Raw genomic sequence first — 16890 nt, forward strand, 5'->3', positions numbered from 1 at the left:
AAACTATGTCTTGTCTGGTTTTGTTTTGTTTTGTTTTTCCAAGACGGAGTTTTACTCTTGTTGCCCAGGTTGGAGTGCAATGGCGCGATCTCAGCTCACTGTACCCTCCACCTCCAGGGTTCAAGCGATTCTCCTGCGTCAGCCTCACAAGTAGTTGGGATTACAGACATGCACCGCCACACCTGGATAATTTTGTATTCTTAGTAGAGATGGGGTTTCACTGTGTTGATCAGGCTGGTCTTGAACTCATGAATTTGGGTGATCTACCTGCCTTGGCCTCCAAAAGTGCTGAGATTACAGGCATGAGCCACCACGCCTGGCCTTGTCTGGCTTTGTACCCTAACAGTATATATTTAGTAAGTATTTGATTGATGAATACATTGATATACGTATGAAAGGAAAAAATAAACATAACATACACAAACCTGGCGAAATTAATTTTAAAAATTAAAAAAAGAGAAGGCACAAATAATATTAGAAATACAAAAGAAGACGTAACTACAGATGCTGTACTATTAAAGAGATAAGAAACTATTAACTTCTTTATGCCAATACATTGAAAAATTTAGATGAAATGATTGTTTAGCCCCAATTTTCTTGTGGCCTAGTGGGTCTGCCTGAACTTCCAGGCCTGGCTTTTTCTGGGCCGACCTGTCTTGTAAAGTTGTCATCTCTCCCCAAATCAATCTGTAGGTATTCCTGTTAAAATCCCATCAGGGTTCATGACTTTCATGAGCTGGAAGAGTAAAGGGCCAGGATTGGTCAAGAACACTCCTCAAGAGCTAGGCTGGGCAACTTGGCCCCCCCATATCACTAAGGATTAGCACTAGGCATAGATGAGCATATAGAAGGCCTGACTATATTTTCTACATGAATCTAAGAAGGGGGCCTCATACTGAAATAAAGACAGGGCCCATAAAGGGGAGCGCTAAAGATGCTAATTTTACCATGATCAGGGTTTAAGGGAAATGGCACGTTTTGGCTTTCAGAGGGCAGGAAACTAGGTGCAGTCTTCTTGGCAACCATGAGAGTCACCAGAAAGGCGCAAAGCTCTAGCACCCTGAAACCTGAATGAAATCAACCCGAAGGCTAGAGCTTCCCTAACCTAGGAATAAAAATATGCCAGTTTATTTCCACCTTATGTCTTTATCTGGCAGGAAAAACAAGTTTGCCTTTTTTTTTTTAAATAGCACACCGAATAAGGAGAACAACACAAACTTTTAACAGAATGTCCCTTAAACCAAATTCATGTTTTATTTATTTTATTATTTTATTTTAGTTCATTAATTTTATTTTAATTTTTTGAGGTAGGGTCTTGCTTTGTCACCTAGACTGAAGTACAGTGATGTGATTGTAGCTCACTTTAGCTTCGAACTCCTGGGCTCAGGCAGTCCTCCCACCTCATCAGCCTCCCAGCAAGCTGGGACTACAGGTGTGGGCCACCATGTCCAGCTGAGTTTAAAATTTTAGGTGGGATGATTGTAGTTGTAGTTCACTCTTTGAGATTACTGTCTCACTAAGCAGGCATTGTCTTCTTCTATCCAATTGTTACCACACTATATTAGCTGATTTTGCTCCCCTCTGGAAATAGCTAAACATGGTGATGGGGTCTTGCTATGTTGCCCAGGCTGATCTCTAACTCCTGACCTCAAGCAGTCCTCCCGTTTCAGCCTCCTGAAGTGCTGGCATTACAGTGTGAGCCAGCCACTGCATCCAGCCCCAGCTATGTTTTAGAAAGAAAGAAAAACAAAATGATTAACTTGCAAAGACTCATTTTGCTTGTTTAGGTGATGTAGTTGTTAAATATTGCAGGAATTTTAACCTTGTTTTTAAGTTTAAGTAGGACTTAATTATTTAGTTAGGTTTTTGAAGGACGAAAAGAATTCAGGTTTCTTTTTTCTTCTTCTCTAGGTATATACCTCCGGATAAGAGGGAAGAAAATGACCAGTCAACTCATAAGTGGATGGTATATGTCCGAGGGTCCCGTAGAGAACCCAGCATTAATCATTTTGTCAAGAAGGTTTGGTTCTTCCTTCATCCTAGCTATAAACCAAATGACCTTGTGGAAGTTAGGTAAGCACGCTTGAGGTATTTAACCTAAATTGAAATGCAGACTTATTTTTGAAGTGGAAGAAAAGTGATTTAACTTCAAAACATTTCCTGGAAATGCAGTAGTAATTGAGAATTGGCTCTTAGTCAAAATGTAGTTGGAGGCCGGGTGGGGTGGCTCACACCTATAATCCAAGCACTTTGGGAGGCCAAGGCAGGCGGATCATGAGGTCAGGAGATTGAGACCATCCTGGCTAACACGGTGAAACCCGGTCTCCACTAAAGATACAAAAAATTAGCTGGGCGTGGTGGCGGGCGCCTGTAGTCCCAGCCACTAGGGAGGCTGAGGCAGGAGAATGGCGTGAACCAGGGAGGCGGAGCTTGCAGTGAGCTGAGATCGCGCCACTGCACTCCAGCCTGGGCGACAGAGCGAGACTCTGTCTCAAAAAAAAAAAAAAAGGTAGTTGTAGTTCACTCTCTCAGATTACTGTCTCACTGAGCAGGCATTGTCTTCTATCCAATTGTTACCACACTAATTATATTAACTGGTTTTGCTCCCCTCTGGAAACAGCTAAACTTGTTTATATAGATACAGATGCATATGAAAATGTTACTTCTTTTTATGAATATCAGAATGTAACAGAATTAAATATAGTATTCTAACATGGTAGACTATTTAATGTTGAAAGTTTCCCATGATCTCACTCTCTTAGAAGTAACTCCCAATCATATTTCTTCTGTACATATTTGAATATAGTATAGTTGTTTCTTGTGATTATTTCACCAAGATGGAATGATTATATATATTGTTGTGAAATTTGCTTGTACCATTTAGGTGTGTTCTTTACATTTTTTTTTTTTGAGACGGAGTTTCACTCTTGTCACACAGGCTAGAGTGCAGTGGTGTGCTGTTGGCTCACTGCAACCTCTGCTTCAGGTTCAACCTCTGCTTCAGGTTCAAGCGATTCTTCTGCCTCAGCCTCCCAAGTAGCTGGGATTACAGGTGCCCGCCACCACACCCGGCTAATTTTTTTGTATTTTTAGTAGAGACGGGCTTTCACCATGTTGGCCAGGCTGGTCTCGAACTCCTGACCTCAGGTGATCTGCCCGCCTTGGCCACCCAAAGTGCTGGGATTACAGGTGTGAGTCACCATGCCCGGCCTTATTCTTTACATCTTTATATGATGTTACACACATATATATTAATTGTGTGGTTTTTTGTTTGTTTTTTTTTTTTTTTTTTTTTTTTTTTTTTTTTTTGGAGACACATCCTGTCGTCCATGCTGGAGTGCAGTGGCACGATCTTGGCTCACTGCAACCTCCACCCCCCAGGTTCAAGCAGTTCTCATGCTTCAGCCTCCCAAGCAGCTGTGATTACAGGTGCACGCCACCATGCCCAGCTAATTTTTGTATATTTTGTAGAGACGGGGTTTTGCCATGTTGGCCAGGCTGGTCTTGAACTCCTGAGCTCAAGCCCCCTGCCCGCCTTGGCCTCCCAAAGTGCTGAGATTATAGGCATGAGCTACCATGTCCGGCCCATATTGATTGTATAAATGCACTGTGGAAGTGGTTGTTGGTTATTATCAGTGAAATCTCTATTCTCTGCTCTGTTCAGAGCCTTTCTTCACCCCCGACTCTTAAACAAAACATGGCTGCCTCCTGAGAACTCTGCTGCTTCTTTAACCCTTTCAAGCGATGGTGGCTGTTTTTTTTGCTGCCACATACCACTGGGCCTGGGGGTGGGGTGGATGTCTTCCTTGATCACATTTATGGCTTCCAGACCACCTTTCCCTGCCAAGGGTGACTGGGGAAATTAGTAGATAATTGCAACAGAGGACAAGCAGCAGCCTCAAAGGAGTTGAGGCTTTTTGGAAAAGGGGGAAAGGTTTCAGCACCTGGTTTACTGATTTTCTCTCTACCATAACTCTTGCTGTCATTCTTAACATCCATATAGACAGTTCATCCAAAACCCTGGTCTCTTGGTTCTTTGATTTCTTCACTTTGATGCTTAGGTTATTGTAGTGATATATCATAGACTGTAAGCTGAGTAAGGAGAGAATATACGTATATAAGAGCAGTGATGGCTGGTGAAAAGTTTTGTGGGCAAGAAATAGAAGTCTCCGTGAAGTCAAAGAATAGTTGGATTGGGGTGAAACTGGAAAGATAAGGGTTGGTGGTCAGAAAGTGGAATAGGCTGGGCGCGGTGGCTCAGGCCTGTAATTCCAGCACTTTCGGAGGCTGAGGCGGGCGGATCACGAGGTCAGGAGATCGAGACCATCCTGGCCAACATGGTGAAACCCATCTCTACTAAAAATACAAAAATTAGCTGGGTGTGGTGGCTCGTGCCTGTAATCCTAGCTACTCAGGAGGCTGAGGCAGGAGAATGGCTTGAACCAGGGAGTCAAAGGTTGCAGTGAGCCAAGATCGTGCCACTGCACTCCAGCCTGGAGGCAGAGTGAGAGTCTGTCTCAAAAAAAAAAAAAAAAAAAGCGGAATATTTGGAAATAAGATTTTTGTAGGTAGGTACAGTATGTTTTTCTTCTTGTGTATTAATTATATTTTTATTGATGATAGAAATCTCATATACCCAAAAGGATGGGATTAAAAACTAATTACATAAAATACTTAAAAATGCAACACAAGTGCCTGTTTTATTTCTCTGTTCTCATACCATAAATGAGAATTTGTAAAACACATTATTTCTTTTAAATTGCAAAGACTATTCCTGCAGTAATTTATGAGATTTATTTGCTAAGAAGTCTTTACTAATCTGTGGGCAGAGGTGTGGCAAGTCACTTATCAAGATATATTATAACAGTGAGAAAATCCAAAGAAAGGATTGTGCTGCAGCTCCTTATCCAGTTTCTCTTTCATCCTGGACATCTGGAGTGTTTTCTGCTAATAGTAAATGAACTTTGTTTCATTACCTGTATGAGGTTTGACGTCATCGAAATAGCCTGTGTCTTGTTTTCAGCCTGATCTGTGCCACTCTGACAGTGTTGCAAAGATGGTCTGCTGTGCCACGCCTGAGCAGTTAGCTGTTCACAGCCTGGCGGCACACACCTTTACCACATACTTTTCCCATAGCAAACCAAACTTTATTAACAACAATGTTAGGATTTGTAAATAGTATTTTAAAAGAGATTATTGGTTACGTGCTTCTGGTTTTTAAAATTCCTGGAGAAATCATATGCTGTGATCAACCATAGCGCTGTTTTTTTTTTAATAGCAGGAAATGTATATAAGTCTATTACTGCACTTACTCATTTACATGTATGTCTCACCAGATTTAGAACTTCTCGATGTTTAGGACCTTATCTTGTCTTAATATCCCCAGGGTCGGCTGGGCACCGTGGCTCAAGCCTGTAATCCCAGCACTTTGGGAGACTGAGGCAGGTGGATCACGAGATCAGGCGTTTGAGACCAGCCTTGCCAACATGGTGAAACCTTGTCTCTACTAAAAATACAAAAAAAAATTAGCCATGCCCGGTGGCGTGTGCCTGTAGTCCCAGCTACTCGAGAGGCTGAGGCAGGAGAGTTGCTTGAACCCGGGAGGCACAGGTTGCGGTGAGCCAAGATCATGCCACTGCACTCCAGCCTAGGTGACAGAGCAAGACTCTGTCTCAAAATAAATAAATAAAAAATAAATAAATAAATATCCCCAGGGTCTATCATAGTTCCTAGCATGTAGTAAATGCTCATTTTGTGTTTTTTAAAATTTTATTTTTTATTTTTATTTTTATGTTTTTTGAGACAGAGTCTCGCTCTGCTGCCCAGGCTGGAGTGCAGTGGCGCAGTCTTGGCTCACTGCAAGCTCCGCCTCCCGGGTTCACGCCGTTCTCCTGCCTCAGCCTCCTGAGTAACTGGGACTACAGGCGCCCGCCACCACTCCCGGCTAACGTTTTTGTATTTTTAGTAGAGATGGGGTTTCACTTATTAGCCACGATGGTCTCGATCTCCTGACCTCATGATCTGCCCACCTCGGCCTCCCAAAGTGCTGGGATTACAGGCGTGAGCCACTGCACCCGGCCAATTTTGTTTATTTTTTTAGAGATAAGAGTCTTGCTCTGGCACCCAGGTGGGAGAAGAGTGCCATGATTATAGCTCACTGCAGCCTCGAACTCCTGGGCTCGAACTGTCCTCCTACTTTAGCCTCCTGGGTAGCTAGGACTATAGGCGTGTGCCACCTATGTCCAGCTAATTTTTTTATCCAGGCTGGTCTCGAACTCCTGGCCTCAAGCAGTCCTCCCGCCTTGGCTTCCTAAAGTGCTGGGATTACAGGCGTGAGCCTTGTACCCAGCCTCATTTCATGTTTGATACTGAGTGAATTATTGAATTCATGAAATGGGCCATTCCATTTGGAGGTGGCTGGTTTTGTTTGGAAGTTTTTAATTATATTGAGCAGAGATCTAACTTCCTCTAACTTCTAAACAGTAAGCTTTTCATATGCTTTATGTACCACTCAGAATCATCATAATCCCTTTTCTTTGTACAGTTGTTTAGATACTTGAAAGCAGTTATTGGGTCTCATCCATATTTGTTTCAGTTGTCACTTGTGTGACTTTGTTTTATGTTCCTTTGCCATTCAGGTTGTATTCTTTGGTATACTCCAGTTTATCTATATTCCTTTTAAAATAACCTTTTTAGAACTGAACCTAAAACTCCAGGTATGGTGTAACCAATATAAAGTAGGTGAGGACTATTAACGTATGTCCTAGGTTTAATTATAACTCTTAGTTCTTTGCAGGACTCTTAAGATGTTTGTTGTGTTAGGTATCTAAAGTAATTTAACGAATAAGGGAGGATTTTTGCGGCTGCCTTCAAACTTGGGGTTAATCTTATTTCTGGATCAAAGCACAAATGTTTTTCTTACACACCCTGAATCTCTTCATCACAGCACATTACCTGACAAAGAGGTGGGTGGATGCTGCTCTTGTTGAAGCACTTTCTTCCACGTTTGTTCAGTTGTCAGGACGACCCTTAGCCAACTTCCTAAAAGCCGTGATTGTGAACTTTGCTTTTTTTTTTTAGGTACAAGATAGTGGTGACTAGATATGTGCTAGGCTCAGGGCGTGATAAAGGGACTGTGAAGATGAGCACGGGGCCTTGGCTTTGGGAAACCAAAAAGGTCTTCCTGCCCTTGGTGTGTGTGAAACTGGAGCGGGCCAGCTCGCCAGAGGAATCCTAGTGAGCCTCTTCCAAACCTTCGTATCTGTTTTATTTCACTCAAATGTAGAACTCTCTAGAGCAGCATTGTCCAATAGAAATATACTGTGAGCCACATCTGTAATTTGAAATTTTCGAGTAGCCACATTAGAGAAGTAAGTACCCAGAAGAAGTGATTTGACATTCCATGCCCTGCACAGTCGGACAATGCCCAGTCATATTACTGTGCGTACTGGGGAGAGTGGTCTGGGAACTGAGGTCTGTCACCTTGGGGACATGGACTAGCACACAGTGGCTAAAGCATGGCCCTGGAGCCTATTGCTTGAGTTTGAATTCTGGTTCCGTTGCTTATTTGCTGTGTGACCTTGGCAAGTTAGTTGTTCAGCCTCACTGTGTCTCAGAGGGGCTATTTCATAGAGTGGTTGTAAGGATTAGGTAAGTTAATAGTTCTAAAGGGCTTAGAACACTGATTGGGTCATAGCAAACAGTGAAACGTAGGAATGCAGTGTTTGCTGCTACTGCTGTTGTGAGGAACAGAGATGTTCATTCCGAAAAGACTTGAGGGAATGCTTTGGTTCTTTTAAAGGGCTTTCATGTGGAGGAAGAATTTACTCCTTGTGATTCCAAATGGCATATCTAGAATTAACATGCAGGAGGTAGAAGAAGTCATTTTGTAATAGAGCTGTTCAGAAATGTAACACAGGGTCTCATGCAGTGGTGAGTTCAGGGTCACTCAGAGTGATGCTAAAAGAATGATTGGCCATATGAATAAATTAGTCGAGCAGGGAGCTGTACTCCATTCTGTGTTTCTAATAAAGCCATTTTTGTTTAATCCCCATAGTCTTATGGTTTTTCCCTCTTGGTGTCAATGGTTTATTTCACCTTCTATGAGGAATCTAGAAGTATTGAAGTTTGTTCGGGGGAGGCAGTCCTTTATTGTGTGAAGTAACGTCTTTTGAAGTATACCATTTCCATAAATAGTGTTGTTGTAGGTCTTAGATTCTTTTTTTGCTTCTAAAAATATGGTTATGGAGGAATTTCCTGTTAAAAAGCATTGTTCATTTTTCCTGACTTTGTGCTGTTTGTCTGTCTTCTCTGGCAGCAGTCTTTCCTGTCTATTCACTAAAGGTTAGGCCATGTACATAAATTGAGAAACATACCTAATTTATCATAGTCATTGTGAGAGAAGTTCAGCATTCAGTGTGATTGAGGCATATTGCAAATGAATTTAGACTTACCATTTAGCTTTACTGGAATTTAAATGACCAAACTTCACATCAGTAGAATTTCCATTAATTGACTCAAGTCCACCATGCCTCTAGGCTCCACTGTATCTCTGGCTGTGGGTCCCGTTTCAGACTAAGTCTGCCTTCTCCTTTGACCCCAAGTGTGAATCTATACCAACGTCACAGCTGCTTCTCTTAGCTCCTTTGCAGCTGATTTCTTCCATCCAGGGCACTCTAGTTTTCTTTGCTTTCTTTTCTCTTTGGTTTATAAGGTATTTATTAATTTCTCTGCTTTCTAGGCTCCCCTCATATCTCAGGGATTTTTCCTGTCCTGGGCTCCGTTGTTAGCTGCTGGCTCTGTGCTCGTTAATTCACATCTGTTACACTCTTTTCAGGTCGTGTTCTTGAACTCTGCACTCACTCAATTCAGTTTTCCAAAAACACTGTCTGTTGAGTTTCTTTCTCCTTGTCATTTTCTTTTTTTTTTGAGATGGAGTCTTGCTCTGTCTCAGGCTGGAGTGCAGTGGTGTGATCTCAGCTCACTGCTGCCTCCGCCCCCCGGGTTCAAGCGATTGTCGTGGCCTCTCAAAGTGCTGGGATTACAGGCATGAGCCACCGCACCCAGCCTCCTTGTAATTTTGATATCTTCTCTCATTACTAATTCTAAGCCAGTATTCATAACAAATGTTTTCATTTTAAAAGCATTCTCTCTCTTCCCTATGCACTTAAACCATATTGTTTTGAGTACTTAATGATATATCAATTAAATTTCTAAATTTTTTTATTATGGAAAATTTCAGACATATATGGAAGTAAAGAACATAATGAACCCTCATGTGCCCATCACCAGTTATTAACAATTTGCTCTTTTCCATCAATTCCCGCCCCTCCTTTTTTCTTCCTTCACAAATTACATTGTGCTGAGAATTCTCCAATCCAGTTAGCATGCACACACATTCCTTTCTGCCCACTAAAATCAGTCATAGTCACTATTCAGGGAAGGTCATATTGTGAACATATGATCTTTCTTTAAGTCTTCTTAGCAGAGAGTTTCAAATAAATTGTCTCAGTTGAGCATGTTCATGATTCATTTTGTTTCTGCCTCAGTGGAGGAATAAATACAAGGGTTTAGGGTAGGGAGCATACCTCATGGCCTGTATCTGTCAAATGCCAATTAAAGATCCTCGCTCTCTAGTGACATTCATCAGATCAACCTAGTTCCCTCGTCTGTGAAAATGACATTGGATTATATGGTCTAAGTTTACTCTAGCTGTTAGCGTTCAATAATTGAAAGTTTAATAGAGGTTTGAGTTGAGTTTTTTCTTTTAAAATTTATCATTTTAGCAAAATTCGGCATGTTGATTTAGTTTTAAACGAGGAAATCTAAATGATTCTCAGAAGACAGTGAATTTCTGATTTATGCATTATCAGGAAACTTTTCCTGTGTAGGATGAGAGAGTGAACATGGATGAACGTGTTAATATCTGCTTTTCCATAGAGAGCCTCCTTTTCACCTGACCAGAAGAGGCTGGGGTGAGTTTCCCGTCAGAGTTCAAGTTCATTTTAAGGACAGCCAGAACAAGCGGATAGATATCATACATAATCTGAAGGTATTGTAACAAAACATTGCTCCCTAGTTTTGAAGTCTCTTTTTACCAGCTACAATTGATCCTTGAATAGCATGGCGGTTAAGGACCCCCTCGCATTAAAAAATTCACATACAACTTTCGACTCCCCCAAAACTTAACTATTAATAGCCTACTGTTGACTGCAAGCCTTACGAATAATGTAAACAGTCAATTAACACATATTTTGTATCTTATATATATTATGGACTATATTCTTACAATAAAGTAAGCTGGAGAAAAGAACTGTTATTAAGAAAATTATAAGGAATAGAAAATATATTTATTATTCATTAAATGGAAGTGGATCATCCTAAAGATCTTTATCCTCGCCATCTTCACATTGAGTAGGCTGAGGAAGAGGAGGGATTGGTCTTGCTGCCTCAGGTGGCAGAGGTGGAAGAAAATCCGTGTATAAGCAGATCTGTGCAGTTCAAACCCATGTTCAAAGGTCAGCTGTATTCAAAGTGGGAGTGTTAGGTCTTCTGCAAGAAGTGGCTAAGAATAGTGGGGGGAAGAGATACTATTTCTGAGTATGTTTATGCTTACTGCTACAACACTACTTTGTCCTCTGATGCAACCATCAGAGAGAGAGAGAATCACTTTAGAGGACAATGCATATCCTTTAAAAAGATGAACAAAGTGGTCAGATAATCAGAACACATGAATCTTTGATCAGACCTCACCATCAATGTGTTTCTTGGGGCTAAGTTACTGAAATCTTTTTTAAATCTGTTTACTTTTCTATAAAGTGGGGCAAATAATAATGTTTGTCTGTAAAGACAGAAATGAACGTGTTTTGGAAATGATAAAGTACTATACAAGATTATAATGCTTTTGTATTGTAAGAAATCCTTTAATGATAAATGTAGCCATGTGGTTTATGGTGCAGCCATTGTAAATTATATCTTATGAAGTGTTGTCTTTCCACGGGGAGAACTGCCCTTATAAGAAGTGAAACACAGAGTACAGGCATACTTTGTTTCATTGCACTTTGCTTATTGCTCTCAGTAGATACTTGATTTTTAAAAAAATTGAAGATTTGTGGCAACCCTCTGTCAGACAACTCTGTGAGTACCATTTTTCCAACATCATGTGCTCATTTTTGTCTCTCTGTCACATTTTGGTAATTCCTGAAATATTTCAAACTTTTTTTTTTATTAAATCTGTTTTGATGATCCTGTGATCAGTGGTCTTTGATGTTACTATTATTTTGGGGCACGACAAACCATGCTCATAGGAGGATGAAAGTAATTGATCAGTGTTTTGTGGATTCTGACTGTTCCAGCAACCAGTCATTCCCCATCTCATTCCCTCTTTTGGGGCCTTCCTATCCTCTGAGAACAACAATATTGAAATTAGGCCAATTAATAACCTTATAATAGTTTCCAAGTGTTGAAGTAGAAGGAAGAGTCACACATCTCTCACCTTAAATTAAAAGCTAGAAAGGATTAAGCTTAGTGAAAAAAGCATGTTGAAAGCCAAGATAGGCTAAAAGCGAGGCCTCTGTGCCAAACAGCCAAGTTGTAAATGCAAAGGAAAAGTTCTTTTTTTTTTTTTTTTTTTTTTTTTAATACTTTAAGTTTTAGAGTACATGTGCACATTGTGCAGGTTAGTTACATATGTATACATGTGCCATACTGGTGCGCTGCACCCACTAACTCGTCATCTAGCCTTAGGTATATCTCCCAATGCTATCCCTCCCCCCTCCCCCCACCCCACCACAGTCCCCAGAGTGTGGTATTCCCCTTCATGTGTCCAGGTGATCTCATTGTTCAATTCCCACCTATGAGTGAGAATATACGGTGTTTGGTTTTTTGTTCTTGTGATAGTTTACTGAGAATGATGATTTCCAATTTCATCCATGTCCCTACAAAGGATATGAACTCATCATTTTTTATGGCTGCATAGTATTCCATGGTGTATATGTGCCACATTTTCTTAATCCAGTCTATCATTGTTGGACATTTGGGTTGGTTCCAAGTCTTTGCTATTGTGAATAATGCCGCAATAAACATACGTGTGCATGTGTCTTTATAGGAGCATGATTTATAGTCCTTTGGGTATATACCCAGTAATGGGATGGCTGGGTCAAATGGTATTTCTAGTTCTAGATCCCTGAGGAATCGCCACACTGACTTCCACAATGGTTGAACTAGTTTACAGTCCCACCAACAGTGTAAAAGTGTTCCTATTTCTCCACATCCTCTCCAGCACCTGTTGTTTCCTGACTTTTTAATGATTGCCATTCTAACTGGTGTGAGATGATATCTCATAGTGGTTTTGATTTGCATTTCTCTGATTAGGAAAAGAGGAAGTCAAATTGTCCCTGTTTGCAGACGACATGATTGTTTATCTAGAAAACCCCATCGTCTCAGCCCAAAATCTCCTTAAGCTGATAAGCAACTTCAGCAAAGTCTCAGGATACAAAATCAGTGTACAAAAATCACAAGCATTCTTATACACCAACAACAGACAGAGAGCCAAATCATGAGTGAACTCCCATTCACAATTGCTTCAAAGAGAATAAAATACCTAGGAATCCAACTTACAAGGGATGTGAAGGACCTCTTCAAGGAGAACTACAAACCACTGCTCAAGGAAATAAAAGAGGATACAAACAAATGGAAGAACATTCCATGCTCATGGGTAGGAAGAATCAATATCGTGAAAATGGCCATACTGCCCAAGGTAATTTACAGATTCAATGCCATCCCCATCAAGCTACCAATGACTTTCTTCACAGAATTGGAAAAAACTACTTTAAAGTTCATATGGAACCAAAAAAGAGCCCGCATCGCCAAGTCAATCCTAAGCCAAAAGAACAAAGCTGGAGGCATCACACTACCTGACTTCAAACTATACTACAAGGCTACAGTAACCAAAACAGCATGGTACTGGTACCAAAACAGAGATATAGATCAATGGAACAGAACAGAGCCCTCAGAAATAACGCCGCATACCTAGAACTATCTGATCTTTGACAAACCTGAGAAAAACAAGCAATGGGGAAAGGATTCCCTATTTAATAAATGGTGCTGGGAAAACTGGCTAGCCATATGTAGAAAGCTGAAACTGGATCCCTTCCTTACACCTTATACAAAAATCAATTCAAGATGGATTAAAGATTTAAACGTTAGACCTAAAACCATAAAAACCCTAGAAGAAAACCTAGGCATTACCATTCAGGACATAGGCGTGGGCAAGGACTTCATGTCCAAAACACCAAAAGCAATGGCAACAAAAGCCAAAATTGACAAATGGGATCTAATTAAACTAAAGAGCTTCTGCACAGCAAAAGAAACTACCATCAGAGTGAACAGGCAACCTACAACATGGGAGAAAATTTTCACAACCTACTCATCTGACAAAGGGCTAATATCCAGAATCTACAATGAACTCAAATTTACAAGAAAAAAACAAACAACCCCATCAAAAAGTGGGCGAAGGACATGAACAGACACTTCTCAAAAGAAGACATTTATGCAGCCAAAAAACACATGAAAAAATGTTCATCATCACTGGTCATCAGAGAAATGCAAATCAAAACCACTATGAGATATCATCTCACACCAGGAAAAGTTCTTAAAGGAAATTAAAAGTGCTACTCCAGTGAACACACAAATGATAAGAAAGCAAAACAGCCTTCTTGCTGATTTGGAGAAAGTCTCAGTGATCTGTATAGAAGATCATACCAGCCATAACATTCCCTTAAGCCAAATGCTATTCTAGGGCAAGGCCCTAGCTCTTCAATTCTGTCAAGACTGAGAGGGGTGAGGAAGCTTCAGAGGAAAAGTATGAAGCTAGCAGATGTTGGTTCGTGAGGTTTAAGGAAGGATGCCGTCTCCATAACATACAGTTGCAAGGTGAAGCAGCAAGTGCTGATGGAGAAGCTGCAGCAAGTTATCCAGAAGATCCAGCTAAGATCATTGATGAAGGTGGCTACACCAAACAACATATTTTCACTGTAGGTGAAACAGGCTTCTGTTGGAAGAAGATGCCATCTAGGACTTTCATAGCTAGAGAGGAGAAGTCAATGCCTGGCTTCAGAACATAGGATTGACTTCTTGTTAGGGGCTGGTGACTTTATTTATTTTTATTTTTATTTTTTTGAGATAGAGTCTTGGTCTGTGACCCACGCTGAAGTATAGTGGCGTGATCTCGGCTCACTGCAACCTTTGTATCCTGGGTTCAAGCAATCCTCCCACCTCAGCCTCCCAAGTAGCTAGGATTACAGACCCCTGCCACCACGCGCGGATAATTTTTGTATTTTTAGTAGAAATAGGGTTTCACCGTGTTGTCCTGGCTGGTCTCAAACTCCTGAACTCAAGTGATCCACCCGCCTCAGCCTCCCAAAGTGCTGGAATTACAGGCATGAGCCACTGTGCTTGGCCACAGCTGGTAACTTTAAATTGAAACCAGCGCTTATTTACCATCCAGTAAATCCTAGGGCCCTTAATAATGATGCTAAATCTACTCTGCCTCTGCTTTATAAATGGAACAAAAAAGCCTGGGTGACAACACATCTGTTTATAGCATGGTTTACTGAAAATTTTAAGCCCACTGTTGAGACCAACTGCTCAGAGAAAAGGATTCCTTTCAAAATATTGTTGCTCATTGATAATTCACCTGGTCACTTAAGAGCTCTGATGAGAGGCCAGGCATGGTGGCTTATGTCTGTAATCCCAGCACTTTGGGAGGCCGAGGCGAGTGGATCACTTGAGGCCAGGAGTTTGAGACCAGCCTGGCCAACGTGGCAAAACCCCGTCTCTACTAAAAATACAAAAAGTAGCTGGGCGTGGTGGGTCACACCTGTAGTCCCAGCTACTAGGGAGGCTGAGGCAGGAGAATCACTTGAACCCAGGAGGCGAAGTTTGCAGTGAGCCAAGATCGCGCCACTGCACTCCAGCCTGGTGACAGAGCGAGACTCCATCTCAAAAAGAAAAAAAAGAGCTTTGATGGAGATGTATAAGGAGATTAATGTTGTATTCATGCCTGCTAACACAATATCCATTCTGCATCTGTGAGATCAAGGAGTAATTTCAACATTCAAGTCTTACTGTTTTAAGAAATATATTTTGTGGCCAGGCACAGTGGCTCATGCCTGTAATCCCAGCCCTTTGGGAGGCCAAGGAGGAAGGATTGTGTGAGCCCAGGAGTTTGAGACCAGCCTGGGCAACATAATAAGACCTCATCTCTACAAAAAAAAAAAAAAATTAGCTGGACATGGTGGCGCTTGCCTGTAGACCCAGCTACTTGGGAGGCTGAGGTAGGAGAATCAGCTTCATGGTCCCAGGAGGTTGAGGCTGCTGTGAGCCACGATCAAGCCACTGCCCTCCAGCTTGGGTGAGAGAGCAAGCCCCATGTCAAAAAATAAAAAATAAAAAAAAGGAAAAAAATATATTTTGTAAGGCTATGGATGCCATAAATAGTGATTTATCAGATGGATTTGGTCAAAGTAAATTGAAAGCCTTCTGGAAAGGACTAACCATTCTAGATGCCATTGAGAACATTTGTGATTCATGAGAGGAGGTCAGAGTAGCAACATTAACAGGAGTTTGGAAGAAGTTGATTCCAACCTTCGTGGATGACTTAAGTTCAAGACTTCAGCGGAGGAATTAGCTGCAGGTATGGTGGAAATAGCAGGAGTACAAGAATTAGAAGTAGAGCCTGACAGTGTGACTGAATTGCTGCAGTTTTATGATTAAACCTTAATGCATGAGGATTTGCTTCTTACGGATAAGCAAAGTAAGTGGCTTCTTGAGATGGCATCCACTCCTGGTGATGATGCTGTGAACACTGTTGAAATTGACAACAAAGGATTTAGAATATTACATAAACTTACTTAATAAAGCAGCTACAGGGTTTGAGAAGATTGACTCCAATTTTGAAAGAACTTCTCTTGTGGATAAAACACTGTCAAACAGCATTGAATGCTACAGAGAAATCTTTCATAAAAGGAAGTCAGTCGAGGCAGCAGAATTCATTGTTGTCTTGTTTTAAGAAATTGCCGTAGCCACCCAAACCTTCAACAAACAGCCATCAGCATCAAGGCAAGACCCTCCACCAACAAAGAGATTACAGTTCACTCAAGGCTCAAGGTGATCATTAGCACTTTTTAGCAAGAAAGTATTTTTAAATTAAGTTATGTAGATTATTTTGTTAAACATAATGCTGTTACATACTTAATAGATGACAGCATAGTATAAACATAATTTTTATAAGCACTGGGAAACAGATTCATTGTGAGTTGCTTTATTGCAGTATTCACTTCATTGCAGTAGTCTAGAATTGAATCTGCAATTATCTCTGAGGTATGTTTGTATAAAACTGTATGTACATGAAGTCAACCACGATCTTTGAAAGGTAGAAAAATAAAACAAAAGAAATATACCAAAAAGTTGGAGCAACTGAAATAATGACATTGTGAACTATTTCTCATGCCCTGTTTTTGGTTGGTTTTCTCAAATATTTTTGCAATTTTATATAAATAAACGTTTATTTTTTATTTTTTTGAGACAGAGTCTCACTGTTGCCCAGGCTAGAGTGTGGTGGCGTGATCACGGCTCACTGCATCCTTGACCTCCCCCGGCTCAGGTGATCCTCTTATCTCAGCGTCCCAGGTAGCTGGACCACAAGCGCATGCCACTACACTCAGTTAATTTTTTTATTTTTTGTAGAGATGGAGTTTTTTTTCCACTGTGTTGCCCAGGCTGGTCTCAAACTCCTGGACTAAAACAATCTACCCTCCTCAGCCTCCCAAAGTGCTGGCATTAGAGGCGTGAACCACCTTGCCTGGCCCATATTCAATTTTTATAATGGAA

The 16890-nt window shown here is 41.0% G+C and overlaps 1 protein-coding gene across 23 annotated transcripts in view; it reads left to right on the forward strand.

Annotated features, from left to right (window-relative positions):
• The window catches only part of YEATS2 (YEATS domain containing 2), a 114828-nt gene that overhangs the window by 28982 nt on the left and 68956 nt on the right, over positions 1 to 16890 (forward strand). For 16 of the 23 annotated variants that reach the window (XM_047448527.1, XM_047448528.1, NM_001351370.2 and 13 more), the window contains 2 exons: positions 1912 to 2073; positions 9940 to 10051. In XM_047448527.1, coding sequence (XP_047304483.1) covers positions 1912 to 2073; positions 9940 to 10051 — 274 coding nt within the window. Of the gene's footprint in view, positions 1 to 1911; positions 2074 to 9939; positions 10052 to 14600; positions 16168 to 16890 lie in introns of those variants that run through there. The other 7 variants (XM_011512965.2, XM_047448531.1, XM_047448542.1 and 4 more) reach the window with 2 other exon arrangements.

This window comes from Homo sapiens, chromosome 3 (genome assembly GCF_000001405.40).
Source record: "Homo sapiens chromosome 3, GRCh38.p14 Primary Assembly".
Lineage (NCBI taxonomy): Eukaryota > Metazoa > Chordata > Mammalia > Primates > Hominidae > Homo > Homo sapiens.